At 48.8% G+C, this 19595-nt stretch overlaps 1 long non-coding RNA gene across 1 annotated transcript, besides 4 other annotated features; it reads left to right on the forward strand.

The window, feature by feature from the left end:
- The first annotated feature begins 28 nt into the window (after positions 1-28).
- LINC02702 (long intergenic non-protein coding RNA 2702) lies at positions 29-18859 on the forward strand. The gene is made up of 3 exons (NR_135069.1): positions 29-144; positions 13505-13660; positions 18549-18859. It is a non-coding gene; the product is annotated as a long intergenic non-protein coding RNA 2702 (long non-coding RNA).
- Positions 1331-2160: an enhancer, noted in NCBI's record as "H3K4me1 hESC enhancer chr11:116511441-116512270 (GRCh37/hg19 assembly coordinates)". NCBI's record gives its function as "activates a minimal SCP1, AML or CMV promoter by ChIP-STARR-seq in primed H9 embryonic stem cells {active_cell/tissue: H9 hESC(primed)}" and the evidence as "EXISTENCE:reporter gene assay evidence [ECO:0000049][PMID:30033119]".
- Positions 2161-2990: an enhancer, noted in NCBI's record as "H3K4me1 hESC enhancer chr11:116512271-116513100 (GRCh37/hg19 assembly coordinates)". NCBI's record gives its function as "activates a minimal SCP1, AML or CMV promoter by ChIP-STARR-seq in primed H9 embryonic stem cells {active_cell/tissue: H9 hESC(primed)}" and the evidence as "EXISTENCE:reporter gene assay evidence [ECO:0000049][PMID:30033119]".
- Positions 2248-2347: a silencer, noted in NCBI's record as "silent region_3920". NCBI's record gives its function as "represses an Ori minimal core promoter by ATAC-STARR-seq in GM12878 lymphoblastoid cells {active_cell/tissue: GM12878}" and the evidence as "EXISTENCE:reporter gene assay evidence [ECO:0000049][PMID:35858748]".
- Positions 11772-12517: an enhancer, noted in NCBI's record as "VISTA enhancer hs1632". NCBI's record gives its function as "enhancer in: midbrain (mesencephalon)[11/12]" and the evidence as "EXISTENCE:transgenic organism evidence [ECO:0001131][PMID:17130149]".
- Positions 18860-19595: the final 736 nt, after the last annotated feature.

A 19595-nucleotide genomic window follows, 5' to 3' on the forward strand; every position in this document is an offset into this window, starting at 1 on the left:
GATGTCTATGATCTCATTATACCCAGGTCCCAGTGCCCTCTTCTAAGCTCTTTATCATCATAATTTCTGATGTAAAGAGCATGATGCCATGGACAAAATGGGCCCTCAGTGACTATCCGATGCAGGGCCAGGCACTGAATGCAGGTGAGTGAGGAGGATCAGGTGCAATAAGTCAATAGCCATTGGCACTCAGCCCCTGTGTGGGGGATACAATAGGGAGTGGTGGGGACCGTGGCAAGTTAGGAGAGTGTAAACCCCGTGTGAGGGGAGAAAGATTGCAGCCAATTGTTGCCATGTGGACATGCAGGCCCAGTGTTACCAATTCTTACAGTTTTGAAAGAAGGTCAGAAGTGTGGCTCTCTATCAGAAATTCTAGAATATTAAATGTGGGTGCTTAAATTTAAAGCACTGTATAGGCCAAACAAAATATGTCTAAGAGCAAGTTTCCTTTAACAGCTTTGTTGAGGTATAGTTGATATACAAATAACTGTACATATTTAATGTGTACAGTTTGGTGAAGTTGGACATATGCAAACACCCATGATACCATCGCCACAATCAAGGTAATATGCATATCCAACACTTCCCAAAGTTTCTCATATTCCTTTGAGTGTGTGTGTGTGTGTGTGTGTGTGTGGTAAAAACACTTAACATGAGATCTTAAGGAATTCTGAAGTACACAATACCAGATTCTTAATTACAAGCACTATGTTGTACAGCAGATCTCTAGAACTTATTCACCCCGCAGAACCGAAACTCTATATGCATGGAATAACAATTCCCCATTTGCCTCTTCCCCTAGCCCCTGACAATTTGCTCCAAGCCCTGGGTGCTGTTGGTGCAGCCAACTCTTTTCTCTGCTGCTATTAGTTTGACAATTTCTGATATGTCATATACATGGAATCAATTTCTGATACATCATATACATGTGACTGGCTTATTTCACTTAGCATATTATTTCACTTAGCATATTTCACTTAGCATAATGTCCTCCATTGTGTTGTTGCAAATGACAGGATTTCCCTCTTTTTCAAGGCTAAATAATATTCCACTGTATGTATTTACTATGTTTTCTTTATCCATTCATCTAACAGAAAGTTTCTATCCATTGTTCATTGGTTTGACACTTGTAGTTAAATGAATAAATTAACCCTGTTCAAACCCTTCATTGTGAAGACTGGGCAACTGGAAGAGTTAAACCATGTCCCTAAGGTTACAAGCAACGAGGGACAAAGCTTAAACTCCAAGTTTCCAGATTTCCAATCCAGTTCTTGTTGATCCAGGGCCAAGGTCAGTGAGGGGGACTGTGTATATGAGGACCCATTAGGTTTGGGGACACATCACCACCTAGTTTGCTGTCCCGAATCCATACATTCCATCCAGCCCAGACCCAGGCCAAGAAGCCAGGGCCCATATGGGCTGAAAGGCCTCACCCACAGAAGAGGCACCGGCAACAGCACCTCCTGGCCTCCCTCCAACCAGAACCTTAGAAGAGCCCCTCACACCCTCCCCTGTACCCCATCCTCAGGCCACTTAGCATGCAGCACCATGGCACAAGCCAGCTGTCACTTAGGCACTTACAGGCAGAACTGTGGAAAAACCAAACCACTGTTATTACACTTAATAACCAGTTTCCACATCATCAACTCATTGGAGTCTGACAGGCGCTGTTAGGGTGTCAGCTCCCTCAGCCTAACAAGTCAGCACTAGCCAGGGGGTGGGAGAGCACCAGGCAGGACTGGGCACCAGCCTCCTGTGAGTTATTCCATCCCCCTCCTGCCCCACATGGAGGACACACACCCAAGGGCAGCCGAGGCGCCGACCCGCCTCTGCCCCCACACACTCAGGAGCTTAGCAGCTACACCAACAGCACCCAAGGTTTACAGCAGGAGCAGAAGCCCAGAGAAGGGGTCTCAGGGCTCTGACTGGTGTGCAAACAGAAGAAAACAGCCTGGCTTGTCAGAGTAGGGGCCAAGGGGTCTGAAGGAAGAGAATCCAGGACTGGGACACCTGGTTGGATCCTAGCTCTACTGTGTGGCCTTGAGTAAGATACTCCATCTTTCCAAGCCCCAGCTCCCCACCTGTAAAAGGTGGTACCTCAAAGCGTTCCTTGGAAGGCAAGCATAGTGCCAAGCATGGTGTCCACGCCTGATAAATGGTGGGTATCACTGAGTTATTATGAAATGGAGGTGGGCAGAGGGTGGGGGTCCTAAGAGGAGGACACAGGTGGGGTTGCTTATGAGGCATACACCCTGGCACATACACCTGCCTGGCGGAACCCTCCTGCTGCCCGCTGTAGCTCGGGCCTGAGGTAGTGCAGTGCTGCCATCTTTTGTCCACACGCTGCACTGCATCCCCACCTGCCCGGTTGGGTGGACAGGGCCCCAGGTGCTCCAGCTGCCCATTCTCCGTTGCTACAGCGTCTCTGAGCCTGGAGAGGGTCTACCCAGCAAGCTCTGGCAGGGCGGACTGTCCATCAAATGTGGCCCAAGATGTCAGAGCAGCCCTGCAGCCAAAGAGACGCCTTATGCCTTTGGGAAAAAACTGTGGGCCATTGCCCCAAAGGGCCCAGGGCTGGCTGGGGTCCCCCACTCCATGCCGCGATGTGTGCAAGGAGGCAGAGCAGAGACAAAGGAGGTGGGTGAGTGGGAGAGGGCACACCTCCAGGGACCTCAGCAGACAGTTTGCTACCTGCTTCCGCATGAGCTGAGATTCCCAAGATGCCAGGAGCAGTTGTCTCTGAGAGGTGGAATTGTGGGTGATGGGAATGATTTTGTTAGGTTGACTGTTTCATTGTGATTATTATTTTTTCTTTATGCGTAATTAGAATTTCACATTTTTCTACAATGCCAAAGTCTCAAGAAATAATTTGTTTATAAACCTGTCTGAAAGTAAATTTGCTTTTAAGTAAACACGTAATTCTAGAGCAGAAAGGGACCCTTTCTTTCACAGTTGAGGAAAATAAGCTCAGAGATAGGTGACTTGCCCAAGGTCACACCACTAGTTTGTGGCCAAGATGGACTAGAACTTCCCTCTCAAGACAAGGTCTTTTTCCTTTGAGAGTGAGCTGGGCCTTTTCCTGACCCTCTAGCTAGGGTAAGATCCCCTATTTGTCACCCATGGTAGCTGTTTTTCTGTTTACTCCCTGTCTCTCCCATGCAAGCTTCATAGGGGCAGGAACTTTATCTATCTTGTTCACTAAGGTATTCCCTGTGTCCATTATAGTCCAGGGTATGTGGCAGACACTCCATAAATGCATGTTGAATGGATGCATGGAGTTAATCAGGGAAGGCTTCCAGGAAGAGGTGAGTTATACATCCATTTTTGAAAAGGCACTTGTAACAGATCAACAGAGAAGATAAGAAGCATTCCTAGGGGCTGGAGGATGGCCTAGACCTAGCGCACAGTAAAGATATGTTCCCAAATATTTGTAGGGGAGGGGAGAATGGCAGAGTAGTACAGATTGTCCTCCTATTCCTGTAGGGACCTGAGCTAGGAACCCATCCCTGACCCTGATTCCTTACCTTGTCCTGAGAATTTGGGAAGAAGCCAAAAAGAATCCCTCTACAGGGCCAGGAAAGACACTAAGAGCTGAAGCTTCCATCAGCCTAACTGGATCTGACAAGGTCTGGCTGGGCCTGGTTGGACCTGACCATCCTGGGTGGACAGATGGGGCCTGACTGGGCTGGGTCTGAGCTGAGAACCACCTTCTTACTCCCATATTTAGGAGACTCTAGTACCTGTCATGTCAGCCTGATCTCCCAGGGCTCTAGAGACATAAAGCAGGGGGAGTGGGGGGAGGGGCAGAAACATTGAGGCCAAGGGGAAAATGTGAGGGGGTCCAAATGTATGCACAGTCTTGTTTCTAGGGTCTTTTATAAGATCACTATTACTTTAGGAACATAAAGATGCATTAAGATGTAATGATCATGTTAAAATATGGAAGCCATTTACTATGTTTAGGTACAGATATGAAAGTCAGAAAAATGGAAAATTTCAGCAGAGGGGAATGAACATTTCTGAAAGGAAAAAAAATTCTTCTCTTAATTTTTCTGGAAAAGTCCCTCAAAAGGTTCTTGGAAAAAAAGGTTTATTTATTCCAGAATGGTGCATCATGTCTGACAAGGAGGCCAGAAGCCCTGTGCACCTCCCTCTGACCCCAATCAGAAAGGAGACACGCAATTACTGAGCACCTGCTGTATGCCAGGTTCTGGGCTGGGCTCTTTGTGAGCATTGTCTGGTGTGACGGAAATAGGTCCACCTGTAGACTGCAAGCACAGACAGCCCGCAGGAGCCTCCGGTGGGCCGACGGCATTCTCCCTGACACCTGGGGGTGTCTCTCAGCCTCAGCCTCTGCCTGCGCAGGCTTGCCTGGCCACACAGAAGGTGGGTGGGGTTCCAGTCTGCCTTTGGCCTGGCATATATTTGGAAAGTGGGGTACACATGCTTGCATACCTCTCCCCTTCCCAAAGCACTTCATGACCGGCCCTAAATAGAACTCAGCCCCGCACTGGGCTTCAGACTTTCAATGTCCTCCTGCAAAACCGTTTGGCACCAACACCTAAAGAGACCGGGATGGGATGTTGATGAGGGCCCACCCAGGGAACTGGAGCTGGGATAATTCTTTATTGTGAGTGTGAAACAAGAATTCAGAGAGGAAGAGGGCAAAGACAGAATGATAGCGAGCATGTCAGAGAGAGAGACTCAGAAACAGAGAGAGGTGGAAATTGAGAGAGAGAGGAGAGAAAAAAGAAAGATGGGGAAAAGAGACAAGAGGAGAAAAAGAGACAAGCAGAAAAACCGAGAGAAGGTTACAAAGCAGGGAGGGGAGGAGAGAGGGACAAAGGATGGACCAGCAGTTACAGGGCCAGGGAAAAGGGGGAAGGCGGAAGACTATCTTTCCCCACTGCCCACCCCCAGGACCCCCCACAACCCTCCCTGGAGGAACCACTCAGACATGGGAGGCGAGAAGAGGGAGCAGAGATAGGCAAACTCGCTACGTAACCTTGGAGACGAGAGCCAAGGAGATGGGCGTGGGGAGATGGGCACAGGGAGGGGCATGGCAGGGGGTGGGGACACAGGCAGGAGAGCAGCAACAGGTCCTACCATCCGGGGAGGGGCGGGTGGGGACAGAGGCCAAGAAGAGTGACCCGGATGAGCTGGGGGAGGGAGAGGGACAAAAGATTCCAGGAACAAACCTAAAGAGGTCTGAGAAGTCAGAATAAAGAGAGATTTTGCTGAGAATCAATTTAGGGAAGAAAGAGCAGGGAGTTGGGAGCTATGATAAGAGAAAGGGGGGTGAAGCGGGGCGGGCAGCAGCAATGCAGCCAGGAGTAGCCAGCCCACATGACCGTGTTGAAGTGAGGGGGGCCGGGCCATTGGCTCTGGACAGCAGGGCACAGGCAGGAAAAAGTCACGGCAGACTGGTGCAGGGAGCCTGGGTTTCTGACCCTTTCCCTGAGACCTGCTAAAGGCGATGAATCTCAGCTGTCTGGCCGGGGGGACCATTCCAATCACTTGTGTCCCAAATCCTGAGTACTGCTATGTGCCAGGTGCTTTGCTGGGCACTCTGGGGGACACAGGGACCATTGACAAACATGTACCCTGAAGACACTCACGGGTTAGTGAGGGAAACAAGGTGTGTACACAAACAACGAGAAGATGGTGACATGGAGGGACTCCCAGATCACTCACTGCCAGCCAGGAGCCCATCAGAGGGAGCCTCCCCGACAGGCCATGCCTGAGCCAGGTCCTGAAGACAGGGCAGGGCTGAGACAAGGGGAAGGCTCATCAGGTAGGGGGCAGCAGGAGCCCGCAGCAGGCAGGCCAGGGAAGCCCAGGGTGACCCTGGGTCTGCCAGGGACTAGTGTGTGGCCCAGGACAAATCACCTAACTTTTCTGAACCTGCCTTTCCCCACCTTGCAGAATTTAAGGATTATGGATAATATCTGTATACTGCCTGGCACATGGCAGGTACTCAATTAAGGGTAGCTATCATTGTTATTAAGAATAAATAGAAAACAGTGAGCTAGAATAAAAGGAAGTGGCTAGAAATGGACTGGAAGGGGGGTTTTAAGACACCCTCACCTCCCACGATCAGAAGCAGCTGTGAGCCACAGTCAGGAGGAACTATCCCCAAAGAACCTTTGGTGGAGCTCTGATTGGTGTCTGGTTAAGAGCTGGGTAGCTTACCATTACCAGCCAAAAAGAACAGTTGAGAGTATGCTGGTTTTAAAATGTGTCCACAATTTTCTTTAGTGTTCCTTCCAAAAAAAAAAATAAAACAAACAAACAAAAAACAAACCCTAATTCCCCTCCACTTGAATGTGGCCAGACTTAGTGACTCACTTCTAGTAAAAAGAATGTGTTAGAAGTTACAGAGTGACTTCTGAAACCAGGCCATAAAAGACAGTGCTCCTTTTCTTCTTGGGCTCTGTCTGTCTCTCTCAGATCACTCATTCTAGGGAAAAGCCATGCCCTGGAGACACTCAAGCAGTCCTATGGAGAGGTCCACAGGGCAAGGAACAGCAGCTTCCTGCCAGCAGCCAGGAGGCCTTGTGAGCCATGCAAGTCAATCATCTTGGAAGTGGATCCCACAGCCACAGTCAAGCCTTCAGATGAGATGGGAGCCCCAGCCAACATCTTGACTGCAACTTCACAAAAGACTTCATGCCAAAAACATCTAGCTAAGCCACTCTCAAGTTCCTGATCCACAGAAACTGGATCAGATCATCCATGTTTATTGTTGTGTTAAACTGCTGAGTTCTGGGATCATTTGTTACAGTGGATAGCTAATACCGGGGCCTGTGACTAAATCTGGAGCCACAACCCCCAATAGGGCATCAAACCCACAGCGGTGGCCCAGTCAGTGCCCACAGCAGTGAGTGGGGTGAGGAGATGAGACATAGGGACCCAGGCAGGGCATCAACAGGTCCTGCCATAGCTGGAGCTCCGAATGACACTCAGAGCAGGCCTGGCTGTGTAGGGCATGGGCAGGTTCTGGGTTGTTCAGTATTTCCAGGAAAGGCAGTGAGAGGGAATTGGTCATCCTTGTTCCTGGCTCTACCCCCATAGATACAGCTATGTGGCTCATCTAGGGCAGCAGGCAGGTCAGGGTAGAAGTAAGCACAAGGAGGCATTTACCTCACCTGGTCTCAAACTCCTGTCTCCCACTTATTATCTGGGTTATCCTACACAAGTGACCTTCACTCTCTTTGCCTCAGTTTCTCATCTGTGAAATGGTGATAATAAACCCTACTTTGTGGGGTAATACTCTCACGGTGTGGTAGAGCCTCGTTACACGAAAATCAGATGATAAAATAAATATGCAGCATCACACAAAGTCGGAGCCCCTTAAGCTGTGGCACCACCCAGCCCCTGGAGCCAAGAGAACAGGTTTAGCTGTGGGTCTGCTTTTCTTTGCCTTCTGACTCCCACGTGGCCCATATCCCTAAGGGCAGAATCAATTTGTACCGAAGCTTAAGAGGAAATATTTCTAAAAGCACCCTGGTTATTTCTGATTCATATCAATCTTCCAACTTGTTTGCAGACTAAAACTTGGCCTTGACTTCATTCCATTCTCATGACAACCCTGGTTGCTCACTGAGGCATGTTTGCTTTGCTTACCTAAGCCTCAGTCTCCTCATCTGTGAAACGGCGCTAGCAACTCTACTGGATCCATTTGGTTGTTGGGTTGGGTTGGGTTAAATGAAGTCTCAGGGGAATGGGCCTAGTAGGCTCTCCTCAAATGCTTAGGATAACTATGGCAATGAAAATTTCACCAGGGCCTGCAACACTAAATACACTCTTGTAGCACAAAATGTAAACAACATGGGGATCCTGACTTCTTTTATAGAATAAGTCTATGCTCTTTTTGAGGCCTTCTCCTTGAATAACTGACTGTTGGAAACCCCAGGAAATTCTGACATGAGGCAAGAGTCTGTCTTCCTCCCTGATCACTTGCTGCATCATTCCGTCCAGTGTTCACCTCTGTACCCACTAGTACACCTCCCACATCAGTGCCCACTGCATGTAGGTGAAGAACCTATGGGATGGATGGATGGACTGGTTAGTAGATGGATAGATGGGTAGATAAGTGGGTGCCTGAGTGTGTGGATGGATGTGTGAGTAGATAAGTGGATGCGGATAGATGGATGGGTGAACAGATGGGTAAGTAGGTGGATGGGTGGGTGAGTGAGTTGAAGAAGGAAGGAAGGAAGGAAGATTTCAGCTCTCCTTCACTCCAGGCCCCATGCCAGACCTCACCCTATTCCTTCCTTGGGGCTCAGTATATACAGAGAGAATTCCTCTCCTGCAGGGAGAGAGGAGAGAGAGAGAAACATCAACCATCCCACAATTAGTTTTCAATCTTAATTATACACATTTCTGATGCATTCATCAACTTCCCCTATTAAGGCTGCCGTAGCACCGTCTCTGCCCTAGTGTGTGCAGAGGGAAAACGGGCTGTTCTCCCCAGAAGAGAGGGAGAGAGGTGTCCTAGCTAGGTCTAGAAGCCTGTGTTCTTCAGGGTTCAGGGGGTCCAGCAGCCAGGAGCAAAGACACAGCCAGCGAGGCAGGAGCCTTCTACCATGTCCTGACCCCTGTGAAGTCTTACGATTCTCTAGGAGGAGGATAGAGAGGACCCTCCCTCCACCCACACCAACACCCCACACCAGAGATGCCCAGAGAGATGGCTGGCTAGTGGCTGGGAGATTATTTTGATGTCATGGAAAGAGTCCTGCACTTAAGTCAGAAGGCTTGGACTGAAGATTCAGCTCTAATTCCTACTGACCATGAGAACTTGGACAAGCCAAATGACCTCTTTGAACCTCATTTTGGTGAGGAGGTTAAATTAGATAATCTTGTAAGATCTCTACCATCTCTAAAGAGTCATTGGGTCCAGAAGATCAGCATCAAGGTCATTCAAGAACCCCTGATCTGGACAGGGAGATCAAGGCAGGAGAATTATGCCTATTAGCTGGCCACCTGTTGGCCTGGATGAGTCAGGGAAGCCTCCCAGGTCCTCCCTCTCAAGACTGTGGCTGTTGCCAGGAAGGACACCCTAGCAGAGCCTGGAGCCTTCACACCATGGGCTGGGGTTGGCAAGGAGGCTGTAGCAGTGCCAGAAACCTCTGAGCATACCACACAACTTCCCCTCTGCAGAGGCAGCTGCCCTGTAGGGAGTCAGTACATTTCTAGTCCCAAAGCTTCCAGGAGATGGAGAGCCAGAACCACTGCCTAGTGCCCAATGAGGGGCTCATGGCCACATTCACCCTGCACCAAGTCCTCAAGAGCCAGGTAGAAGCTCCAGCCACAGGCACAACCAAGCTTCCTACCCTGTGCTCCAGCCTCCACCTTGAACTCTAAGCCACAGTCTCCTTGCTGTGAGTGCCACCTGGCCAGCCCAGGCTGCCCTGGCAAGGACATGGAACCAGGCCAGGTCCCTAGTGTGGATGGTAATTCATGGTGCTTCACCTCCACCAGGCCAGACTCCACCAATCAGGAGACATGTCTCTCTGGAGCTCAGCCTCAACTGCTCCAAAGCCGAGCCTGGGAAGAGGGAAGGGTGACATGAATGGCCAGCCCTCACCTTCTGCCAAGCCCAGGGAAGAAGAGGGCCGGCATTACACAAGTACTTTCCTGGAGACAGTACTTGTTAAGAGCCTTTGCTTCCCTCTGGGTTCCAACCCAGCCTGCCCACCCTGTGGCCAAGAACATCCCTGGCCCCTGGCTCCAGCCACAGCTCCCAAAGTCAACTCATTCTGCAAGTAAAAGCAATGAGCCCAGGAAGAGGAGACAACTTTCCCAAACAGCAGCAATAGAGAGAAGGGAGCTCTTCCTGGCTGTGCTGCCCTGTGGCTCCAAGGTAGAGGGATGGCAGTGCAGGCTCCAGGACCCAGCACCAGACTCCTCCTTGGGTTTGGCTGACTCCCATGGGAGGGTCTCTAGGAAGACAAGAAACAGAGGCCTGAGGTACACCTGGCTTGGAGACCGGCTTCACCTGTCCTCATGTCCCTGCCACTAACCTGTTGCATGAGCTTCCCCCTAAGAGACCTAGTCCCAACGTGTCTATGGTTCCTCATCTGCCCAGCATCCCCCTTGGCTCAGGGCTTCTTGGGAGGTCCATATGAGCAAATGCCCTGCATCACCCGTAGATGCCAGAGCTGCAAAGAGACCTGGACAACAACCATCCCAACCTCCGGCTTTTGCAGTTGTAGAAGAGGCTCAGATAAGTTAGGTGATTTTTCCAAGGTCACACAGTATGTCCTGCAAGAATGAATTAAAACATTCATCACTGTATAAATATAAGGAATTAATAGAAACAATGTTTATATAACAGATATTTGAATCAGTGATTACCTGATAAAAGTTACAGACTCTCCCTCTGAGAAACACACATGCGTCAAAGTGCAGACTGCTCATGTGATATGAGGGGGTTGGCTCCTGAAGCCCATTCATGGATTAGCCTGTGGTCAAGGTTTCCAGCTCTGTCACTAGGACAACTTACCTAACTCTCTGTGCCTCATTTCTTCAACAACCAAAGGGAACAATAGTACATGCCTCATGGTTGTTTGTAGGATTTAATGAGTTTGCAACGTATTTGGAACAATGCTTGGCACATAATAAATGCTGAATAAATGTTTGCTGTTATTACTCCCTGAAGACAGTCTTGGCACCCTCAAGGAGCCCCAGATGCCAGGGAAGCCTTCCTACCAGGGGGCCTTTCAAATGTCCAGGAGTACCTGCTCATGTCTCCTCAAACTCCCAGCTTCACCTGGGCTGGATGAGCAAACTGTGAGATGAGGATCCCACCCGCCCCTGCCTCCCACCACCATCAGGCAAATGACCCTGATTCAAGCCTTGGTCAACCTCCACCTGCCCACTGCCCACCTGGACAGCCACTGGCTGCAGTTTCAGGAAGCTGCCTCTTCCCCTCACCCTCCCCACGGCCCAGGAATCAATGCAATCCCCTAAAAGCTCATAACTTGGAGGTAATTATAAGAAGCATCAATTACCCAGCAATGTGGATTTCATGAATTCAATTAATTTGCATGGCAATCGATACGGGCGGGTTTCACTGGGGTCCCCAGGGGAAGTTAGGACATTGTTCTGCACGCTATTGATTTTACAATGTAAAACAAAACCTCTCTCCTCGAATTCATAGATGCCCATTCAGCCATATTAACTTTCAGATCATTTATTTTTGTATGTCTTTCAACTCTGTTTGTTGCTATCACACAGATGCAGAGTATTACATTGTAGGGAATAATTGAATCAATACAGTCATGCTACACCAGACTTCCCCAACTCAAGGAAGAAGAGCAGTTTGCCGACCAGCTCTTCTGCACTCTGCCTTCCCCAGCCAGCTGTCCACCCTCGTGCCCACCCCAAACTCTCCCTCTCCCAAGCAGGCCACTCCCCTAACCCTAAGTTTCTCACTCTGTCCAATGTGTCTTCATTCAGGACAGACTTAAAGTGCAGCTGGGGAAATATGGTTAGACAATAGGAAGAATTTTTCTGTCGGTGAATGGAAGCTGAAGGGGAGTTGGAAGGAATTGAGGGCTTCCCTTTTTGGAAGGGTCTTTGGAACCAAGAAGATTGCAGACTGATGGGGGCCTAAGTCAGTGGCCTCTCAGGGATCCTGGACAGGGGAAGAGTGCTTCTTTTCCTCCACTAGAAGCAATGAGATTGAGGAGACAGCATTTTCTGAACATTAATCCATCCCACTCTAGAAGAAGGCCAAGTTTAATAAGAGGAGTGATTATGAAAAAAGTCAGGGGCCTACCAGCCTTAGCCTCCCATGCCTCCAGCTCAGGTGCGCCCAGCTTTGCTGTGTTCTTGAATCGTGCCCCCTCTACACCCAGGCAGCCAGCTCCCTGGGTCCTCTTTGAGGCCAGCATATGCTCTGAGCAGCATCTGAGACTGCTGCACACCCTACATATACACACACACACGCTCATACACACACACACACACTCACACCCAGCAGAGCAAGGCTGGAGCCCACCAACCCAGCCACACTCCCAGGAGAGCAGGGGCCACCTTCCTGCCCCGCAAAGCCCCTACTCAGCACACCACCCTCCACTCCCCATGTCTAGAGAAGGAGTGAAGGCTTTTTTTTTTCAATTTGCCTCTGCCCCCCGCCCGTCAGGATATTAGACAGCTAAACAGCCCAGCGCCTGTTTCCTTCAGATAACCAGCTCCTGACGAGCCCCCTCACTGTCCCCAGAATCTCAGCGCCAGTGTATAGAGTAGGTCATTTAACCAACAGTACACACAACTAAATAAAAATCCATTTTCCAAGAGAAAATTCTATTCTTATCAGAGTTTTGCAAGAGGGTTGCAAGCGGCCCATGTTAATTGAAGCTTTGATGTTTGTAGGAGGAGGCCTCTAATCAACACCACAAAGGAGGCTGATTCACTGCAGTGTGCCCCTCGGCCGAGGAGCAGAGTCGGGGGAGCTGGTGATGGGGGGCATGGGGTGCAGAGGGCCAGGCAAGGACAGAGGATCCAGGCTAGCCACCAGACACCACAGGCTCCCAGCCACTGCCTCAGGCCCAGAGGCAGGCACAAAGATGTCAGGGAGGCAGGTGGCTGGGTCAGGAAAGTCAGCAAGACTGGAGGTGGGCAGGACCCAGTGTCAGACAAGCCTGGAGTCACGATCTACCTGGTGATTTGCTCACTGTGTGGCCTTGGGCAAGTCACTTGACATTGCTGAGCCTCAGTTTCTCCTCTGGATGACCGTAATCCTCTTTACCTATCCTCAAAAGCCATTTGATGATGACCAAATAAAAACAAAAGCACAGAAAGTGAGTTTCATTTCTGAGTATGTCCTATGAACTAGGTTACCCGCTAACCACTTTACAAGTGGCTTAGTGTAGTGCATCTGATGTGCTTCCTGCCTTCTGCTGACTGCTTTGTAATTGTCCTCATCTCGTTCATCTTCAAGGTGGGGAATCTTAGCCCATTTTGCATATAGGGAAACTGAGGCTCAAAGTGCCTAAGTGTCTGGCTCAAAACTTCACAGTAGAAAGTGGCAGAGCTGGGATTCAAACCTTGCTCTCTTCAACTCCAGAATCCAAACAGTTTTCTCTTACTTGAGCTGCTTCTCCTAAAACAAGGTAGGAGGGCCCATCCAGACCCCTCATGCCTATCTCCCCACTTCCCACCCCTTTACCTTCTCTCTCTCACTCACACACACACACACACACACACACACACACACACACACACGTCATTTCCTTTGCTCCTCACAGCAACCAGCAAAGCAGGCAGGTAGGCACCCTAAAACAAGAAAGGGGGTCTTGGGGGAGTTTGTGTGGGTTAATGAGCTATTCTTCATAAAGTCAACTCTGCCAGGACCATAACAAACTCTCAAGAACTGGCAGCCCCAGCACTGTGATAATGGTGGTGGTGGTGATGGTTTTCATACCCAGCACACAAGAACTGCTCAAAACAGACAGTTAACAATAGCCATAAAATCATTAGCATCCCTGTTTTCTAGATGCATATACTGGAGCTCAGAGGATTTCAGTGAGTTACCCCGGCCACAGCCAGTGAGCAGCGATGTCAAGATGTCTTGAATCCTGGGCCTCAGCTGCAAAGCCGTAACCAGTCCTCTGTGTTCCCATGGGCCAGTGCTTTACAAAGGTCCTTGCAGGTTAGGAGGAAGGGGAAATCTAAACACAGGCCTGCCCAGCACCTGCGGAGCGAATCCCAGTCCTGAGCACCAGGCATAGGAAGGAAGTGTCTTCAGAAGAGAAAGGAGAAGGAGTGGGCGAATTTGCCAGTCCAGATTAGGCTAGAAAGAGTTTACATTCCATATTCAACATGTATTTACCTGTGAGCTGCCAGTCCTGTGCCAGGGCTTGCGGGCTCAGAGATACAAGAACACACGGATGAGAGGCTTTCATTTCCGTGGGAGCTGTCTAAAGCCAGGGGAGCTTTGGCAGAGGTCTGCTTGGGCCCTCCAGGAAGAGAAGGTAGGTTTCAGCTGCCATTTCCAGGATGCGTGGGGGTGTCCGGGCAGGGAATTGAGGAGTGAGAGGGTCTCCAGGATCTTTCACACCCATGGCCACATTTGGCGACTTTACCAGCTGAGATCAACCAACAACGAGGAAATCGAGGCCCAGAGAGCTCTGGTGACTTGTTCAAGATCCCGGGATCTGCAGAGAGCTGAAGTGGCATCCAAACCCAGGTCTTTGACTACAGTGTCTTTCCCACTATGCCAAGCCAGTAGGGGATGGATGCAAAATGTAAAGTGGCTAGCTCAAAATCAGGCGTTAAAAGCAGGTGTCAGGAAATGGGCACTGGGTAGAGCCTGCAGCGCTGGCCTTCCCCACAGGCACCAGGGCCCAAGATCTCCAACAGGCAGTCCCTGTGCCCAGCAGTGTATGCAGACCGTCTGCAACACTTGGACCCAAAGGGAATGGGGCTTGGGGAAGGGAGGGAGAAATTTCTTTCTCTCTCTCTTTTTTTTTTTTTTTTTTATTGAGATGGAGTCTCGCTCCATTGCCCAGGCTGGAGTGCAGTGGTGCGATCTTGGCTCACTACAACCTCTGCCTTCTGGGTTCAAGAAATTCTCCTGCCTCAGCCTCCCAAGTAGCTGGGATTACAGATGTGTGCCACCATGTCTGGCTAGTTTTTTGTATTTTTAGTAGAGATGGGGTTTCATCATATTGGCCAGGCTGGTCTCCTGACCTCAAGTGGTCCACCTGCCTCGGCCTCCCAAAGTGCTGGGATTATAGGCATCAGCCACCACGCCCGGCCGAGTGGAGCAATTTCTACCCAGGATACCAGCCTCTAGCTTCTGCCTGCTCAAGAGCTGTGGGGCCTGAGAAAAGATGATGGAGAGGTTCAGGGGACCAGTTACTGAGTCAAGGCCAAAGTGAATGGGATGTGTTAGGACCAGCAAGCCTCCTACTCCTTAACCATCTCCACTGATTCCATTTGCTATAACAGCAGCAGGGCTTTTTGCTATGAGCTGGCATACCATGAGTTAAAAGTTTAACAAGCATCCAGGAAAAATGCTTTATAAAAACAAGATGTCACAACCTGAGTCTCCTGATCATGAAATCAGGTCCCGTGGAAGCCTGGGTTACTGAAAGGCTCCCAACTGCTCTTCTAACCCTGAACCTCTGTCCTACCCACTCTGTTCTCCACTATGAAAGCTAGCCAGAGAGATGACTCTATGGCAAAATCTGACCATGTCACTCCCCACTTAAAACCCACCAGTGCTTCCTCACTGCTCTGGGGACAAAATCCAAAGACTGTGCTGACACATAAGACCTTTCTCTTTTTCTCCTGCATGCCCTTCCAGGAGTCTTGCAAGCCCCTCCTCATATGCACGCTCCTACAGACAGTGCCCAGCATGCCCAGCCTCATACTGCTTATGCTGTCCCTCATCCTGTAACATCCCACCACCACCACTACATCCATCCTATGTGTGATGGGTTGCATTAATGGCCACCATTCCAAAGAGCTGGGTATGTGTGTGTTATCCCACTAAAGAGGTGGAATATATGGAATATGTTTCCCTGCCTCTTAACCTTGGGTGCAGACATATGACTTGCTTTGGCCAGTGGAATGTTAGAAGAAGTGTGATTGGGCTTTCTCTCTTTTCCTTTTTCTGTCACCATTAGAGAATCATGCCAGGTTAGGCTGGTGGTCCCAGAGGAGGATAAGAGGCTTATGGAGCAGAGTTGCCTAATCAGGCCCAGCCAAGATCAGCAGACCCTCAACCAATACATAGACACACGAACCAGATAAATGGTTTTGTTATTTGCCACTGAGAAATGGTAGGTGTTTGTTACACAGCATATTGTAGCAGTAGCTAACTGATACATCATTTTAACTTGAGTAAATTCTATCCACTCATTGGATCTCAGCTGAGGTAGATGTCATATCTTCTTAGAAATCTAACCTGAGCTCCTCGCCTCTTCCACAGGTCAGCACTGGGGGCTCCCATGGCACCCAGAATTAACTCTTACTGCAGCACATAGCATGTACTGGGTTAAAATTGCTGTCTCCCTCACCCATCCTGAGCTTCTTGAGGTCAAGGGTTGCATGTTATTCACAATTTCTGACATAGAGGAATTCAATGACTATTTAGTGAAGGATTGAATGTGGAAGTGGCCTTTTCTAAGGGGTAGAAGCAAAAAAAACCTCTCACTTTTCCACCTCAGCCCACCACTATCATGAAAAATGCCCAAAGTGGGACGAAAACTCACGTGAGTTCTCTGCACTTCCTGCCAGCCTCTGGCACACACACTAACACACTTGAATCCCAAAGTTAGCCAAGCTGCACTTCCCTGCCGCCCGCTTGCTTGGTGATGAAGCACTTTTTGAGCCACTTTGCTCCATCTTTCTGCAATATCCTCCAGCAAATCAAGCATCCCCTTCTTGGGATGTTTTCAATCTGTTTTATGTTGATTTTAATTAAAGAATTCGAAACTGAACAAACAGTTCCTAGCAGGTGGCCATACAAGTGTGAAATAAGCAAACTGTTTTATCTGCCACAAACTCTGCTAGTAAATTTCTTCAAATTAATCCCAGCCTCCGAGAGTCTGCTGATTCCAAGGAGAAAGCTAAGCAATCCTAGCCTCCAAATATTTGCTTTTGTTACAGCTCCTGGAGCCAACGACTGGTGGTGTCCGTCTTTCTCCATGCTCATCCACCTTTTCTCCCAGTCCCATCTCTGGCACTCTGTTGGCCCAACCCATCTGCCCAGAGCAAGGCTCATGTGGCCACATCACTGGGCTCCACAGCCAGAACTCCAGCAGGGTGGCCAGATGCCCAGGGAGACTTCCCAGCCCACCTTCTTCTGAGCACCATCTTGCCCATCTTTACTTTCCACTTCCTCTACCAGCCCTCCAGCTGAGCCTGGGCCTCCCACCAATGCTTGCCCACCCCAGGGAGGCACAGACATGAAGGCCCAGAACAAGGCTTGCTTCCTTTCCCCTGGTACCACTCAGGAATGAGAGGCGCCCTTGGAAAAATGACACCACCCAGTTCCGGCCAAGGGTATGAGGAAATGGGCCACCTCCTTCACCAATGATGGGAGCTTAAATTAGCACAGCCTTTGCAGAGATCGGTTTGTCTACGCACATCAACAGTGTTAGCATCTTTCTTACTTTTGGATCCAAAAATTCCACATATAGGACTTTAGCCCCCTGCAAAAAAAAAAAAAAAAAAAAAATCAATGTGCAATAGCAAACATTTACTATTGCACTCTTTATAACAGCAAAAACGGAAACATTTATGGTTCAACAACAAGGATTAAATGATACAGCCATATAAAACATTATACAATAGTATTTAATAATGTGGAAAATAATTTTATGATCTTAGTGGAAAAAGCAGGTTATAATCAATATATATAGCATGAGTTTATTTTTCTATTTTATGTGTGTACACAGAATATATCATATGCTACATGTAGTATTATATATTATTTATGTAGTATACTATTAATATTATATACTATTAATATGTATATACGTAGTATATACATTTATGTAGTATACTACATGTATCTACAGAATATTATCATTTTATAGGTAATATATTCTATATTTATAATGCATATGGAATATGCAGAATATATTGTATAGTCTACATGTAGTATAAATATTGCATATACATTACTCTAGATATGTAATGTGTTATGTGCATTCACACATAAGAAAAAAAGACTGGAAGGGTATAAACTAAAATGTTAACAATGGCAGTCTCTCTAGGCATTGGGAATATAACTGGTATCTCTTTTTTTTTTTTTTTTTTGGGAGACGGAGTCTCGCTCTGGAACTCCCGGCTGGAGTTCAGTGGTGTGATCTCTGCTCACTGCAACCTCTGCCTCCCAGGTTCAAGCAATTCTCCTGCCTCAGCCTCCTGAGTAGCTGGGAATTACAGATGCCCACCACCACACCGGGCTAATTTTTTTTATTTTTATTTTTAGTAGAGACCGGGTTTCATTATGTTGGCCAGGCTGGTCTCAAACTCCTGACCTCGTGATCTGCCCACCTCTGCCTTCTAAAGTGCTGGGATTACAGGTGTGAGCCACCATGCCTGGCTTTTCTTTTTCTTTTTAAAAAATCATTATTTTGTTAGTTTTCTGATTTTGAAAACTCTGGCTAGAGAAGCAGAAGACCTGGGTTGTGCCCTAGCAGTGACACTGATACAATGCCATCTCCTGGCCTAACTCCAAAGCCAGATCTGGAGTCATTAATATCACTTGTGTCAACTTCCCGATCTACATACAACATGTAAGAGAAATCAGGTCACCTGTAAGGTTGCATCCAGCTTCCATTTTATAGTTCTACAGTGTGTCCTGAACCACAGTTGAGAGAGAAAGGCAGACAGGGAAAAAGAAGGTACAAACTCAGCAGAACTTCATCCAGTGTAACCTGTTCCCTCGTTCAACCAGCCTCAGAGCCGTAAATATCACTGAATAGGCATTCACTATGCACCAGGCACTATTACATTACACACTAAATGCAAAGGGATTGCACAAAGTAATAACCCGCATTTCTGCCCCACTGTAACTGCAGGTTCATCCCTAGAAGATTGTGGTATTTCTGGCCATACGCAGGAAAGGTGCCACAGATGCTCAAGTATAGGCATCAGCTACCACCCCATCTGCTGGTGGTGCTCATACTTCTCCGGGATACCTCCCCTCCAGTCTCCTCCACCCCTACAGGGTCAGCACTGCTCTTAAGCCTTGAAGTGTCACATCTGCATGGCAGCTGCCAGCAAAAGGGAGAAAAATCTCTGTATCCCTTCAGGTGACACTAGTTGCTGTATGGATAAACACCTAAATCTCACTTGGCTGAACACAATAAAAGTTTATCTGGTGCTCACAGCACTGCCCAGTGGGGAGTCAGCTCCACACAGTCATTCGTAAACCCAGTCTCCTCCTATCTTGTGGCTCCACCCTTCTCCAAGACCCCAGAATCCTCTCTGTTCTGCTGGCAAATGGAGGAAGAGCTAGAATTGCACAAGGGAGGTTCCTTATACAAGGCCGTATTTGAAAGGGTCCACAGCATCTGCTCACATCCCACTGGCCAGGACTCAGTCACGTGGCCACATCTAACTGCAAGGGAGGCTGGGAAGTGTATTCCAGTGTGTGCAGCCAGGGAAGAGAGGAGGCCATGTTGCTCTGGGCAACAACATCAGGTTCTATCCCCTCTTCTCTCCCCACTTACGGGGTGACCCTCTTGGAGGCCTCTCAGTTGCGCAACCTCACACCCCAATGCCATACAGAGTTTCTTACGAAGTGGCTCTTTCTCACCACCCTTTTTATTTTTCCCTGGAGCCCAGAGACACAGCCCGGTTGTAGGCATGGGGGTGAGGGGTGTTATCAGCCAAGGACACAACAGCGTACTGGAATACAGTGGCTTCTAAAACCACCTGTGGAAAAGAACCAAATGCAATATCCCCATCAGTCTCCCACAGCCCAAACACTGCAAAATTCTAGAGGTCGCCAAGGACCACAGTCGCCAGAAACAATGACTTCATTTGGGTCTTTCTCATTTAGTCTTTCTGAGGTGTTGGACGGCAGTGACACCTTCTCAAGGTCACTCTCCGGGCCGCATGAC

The sequence above is a fragment of the Homo sapiens genome, chromosome 11 (genome assembly GCF_000001405.40).
Source record: "Homo sapiens chromosome 11, GRCh38.p14 Primary Assembly".
Classification (NCBI taxonomy): domain Eukaryota; kingdom Metazoa; phylum Chordata; class Mammalia; order Primates; family Hominidae; genus Homo; species Homo sapiens.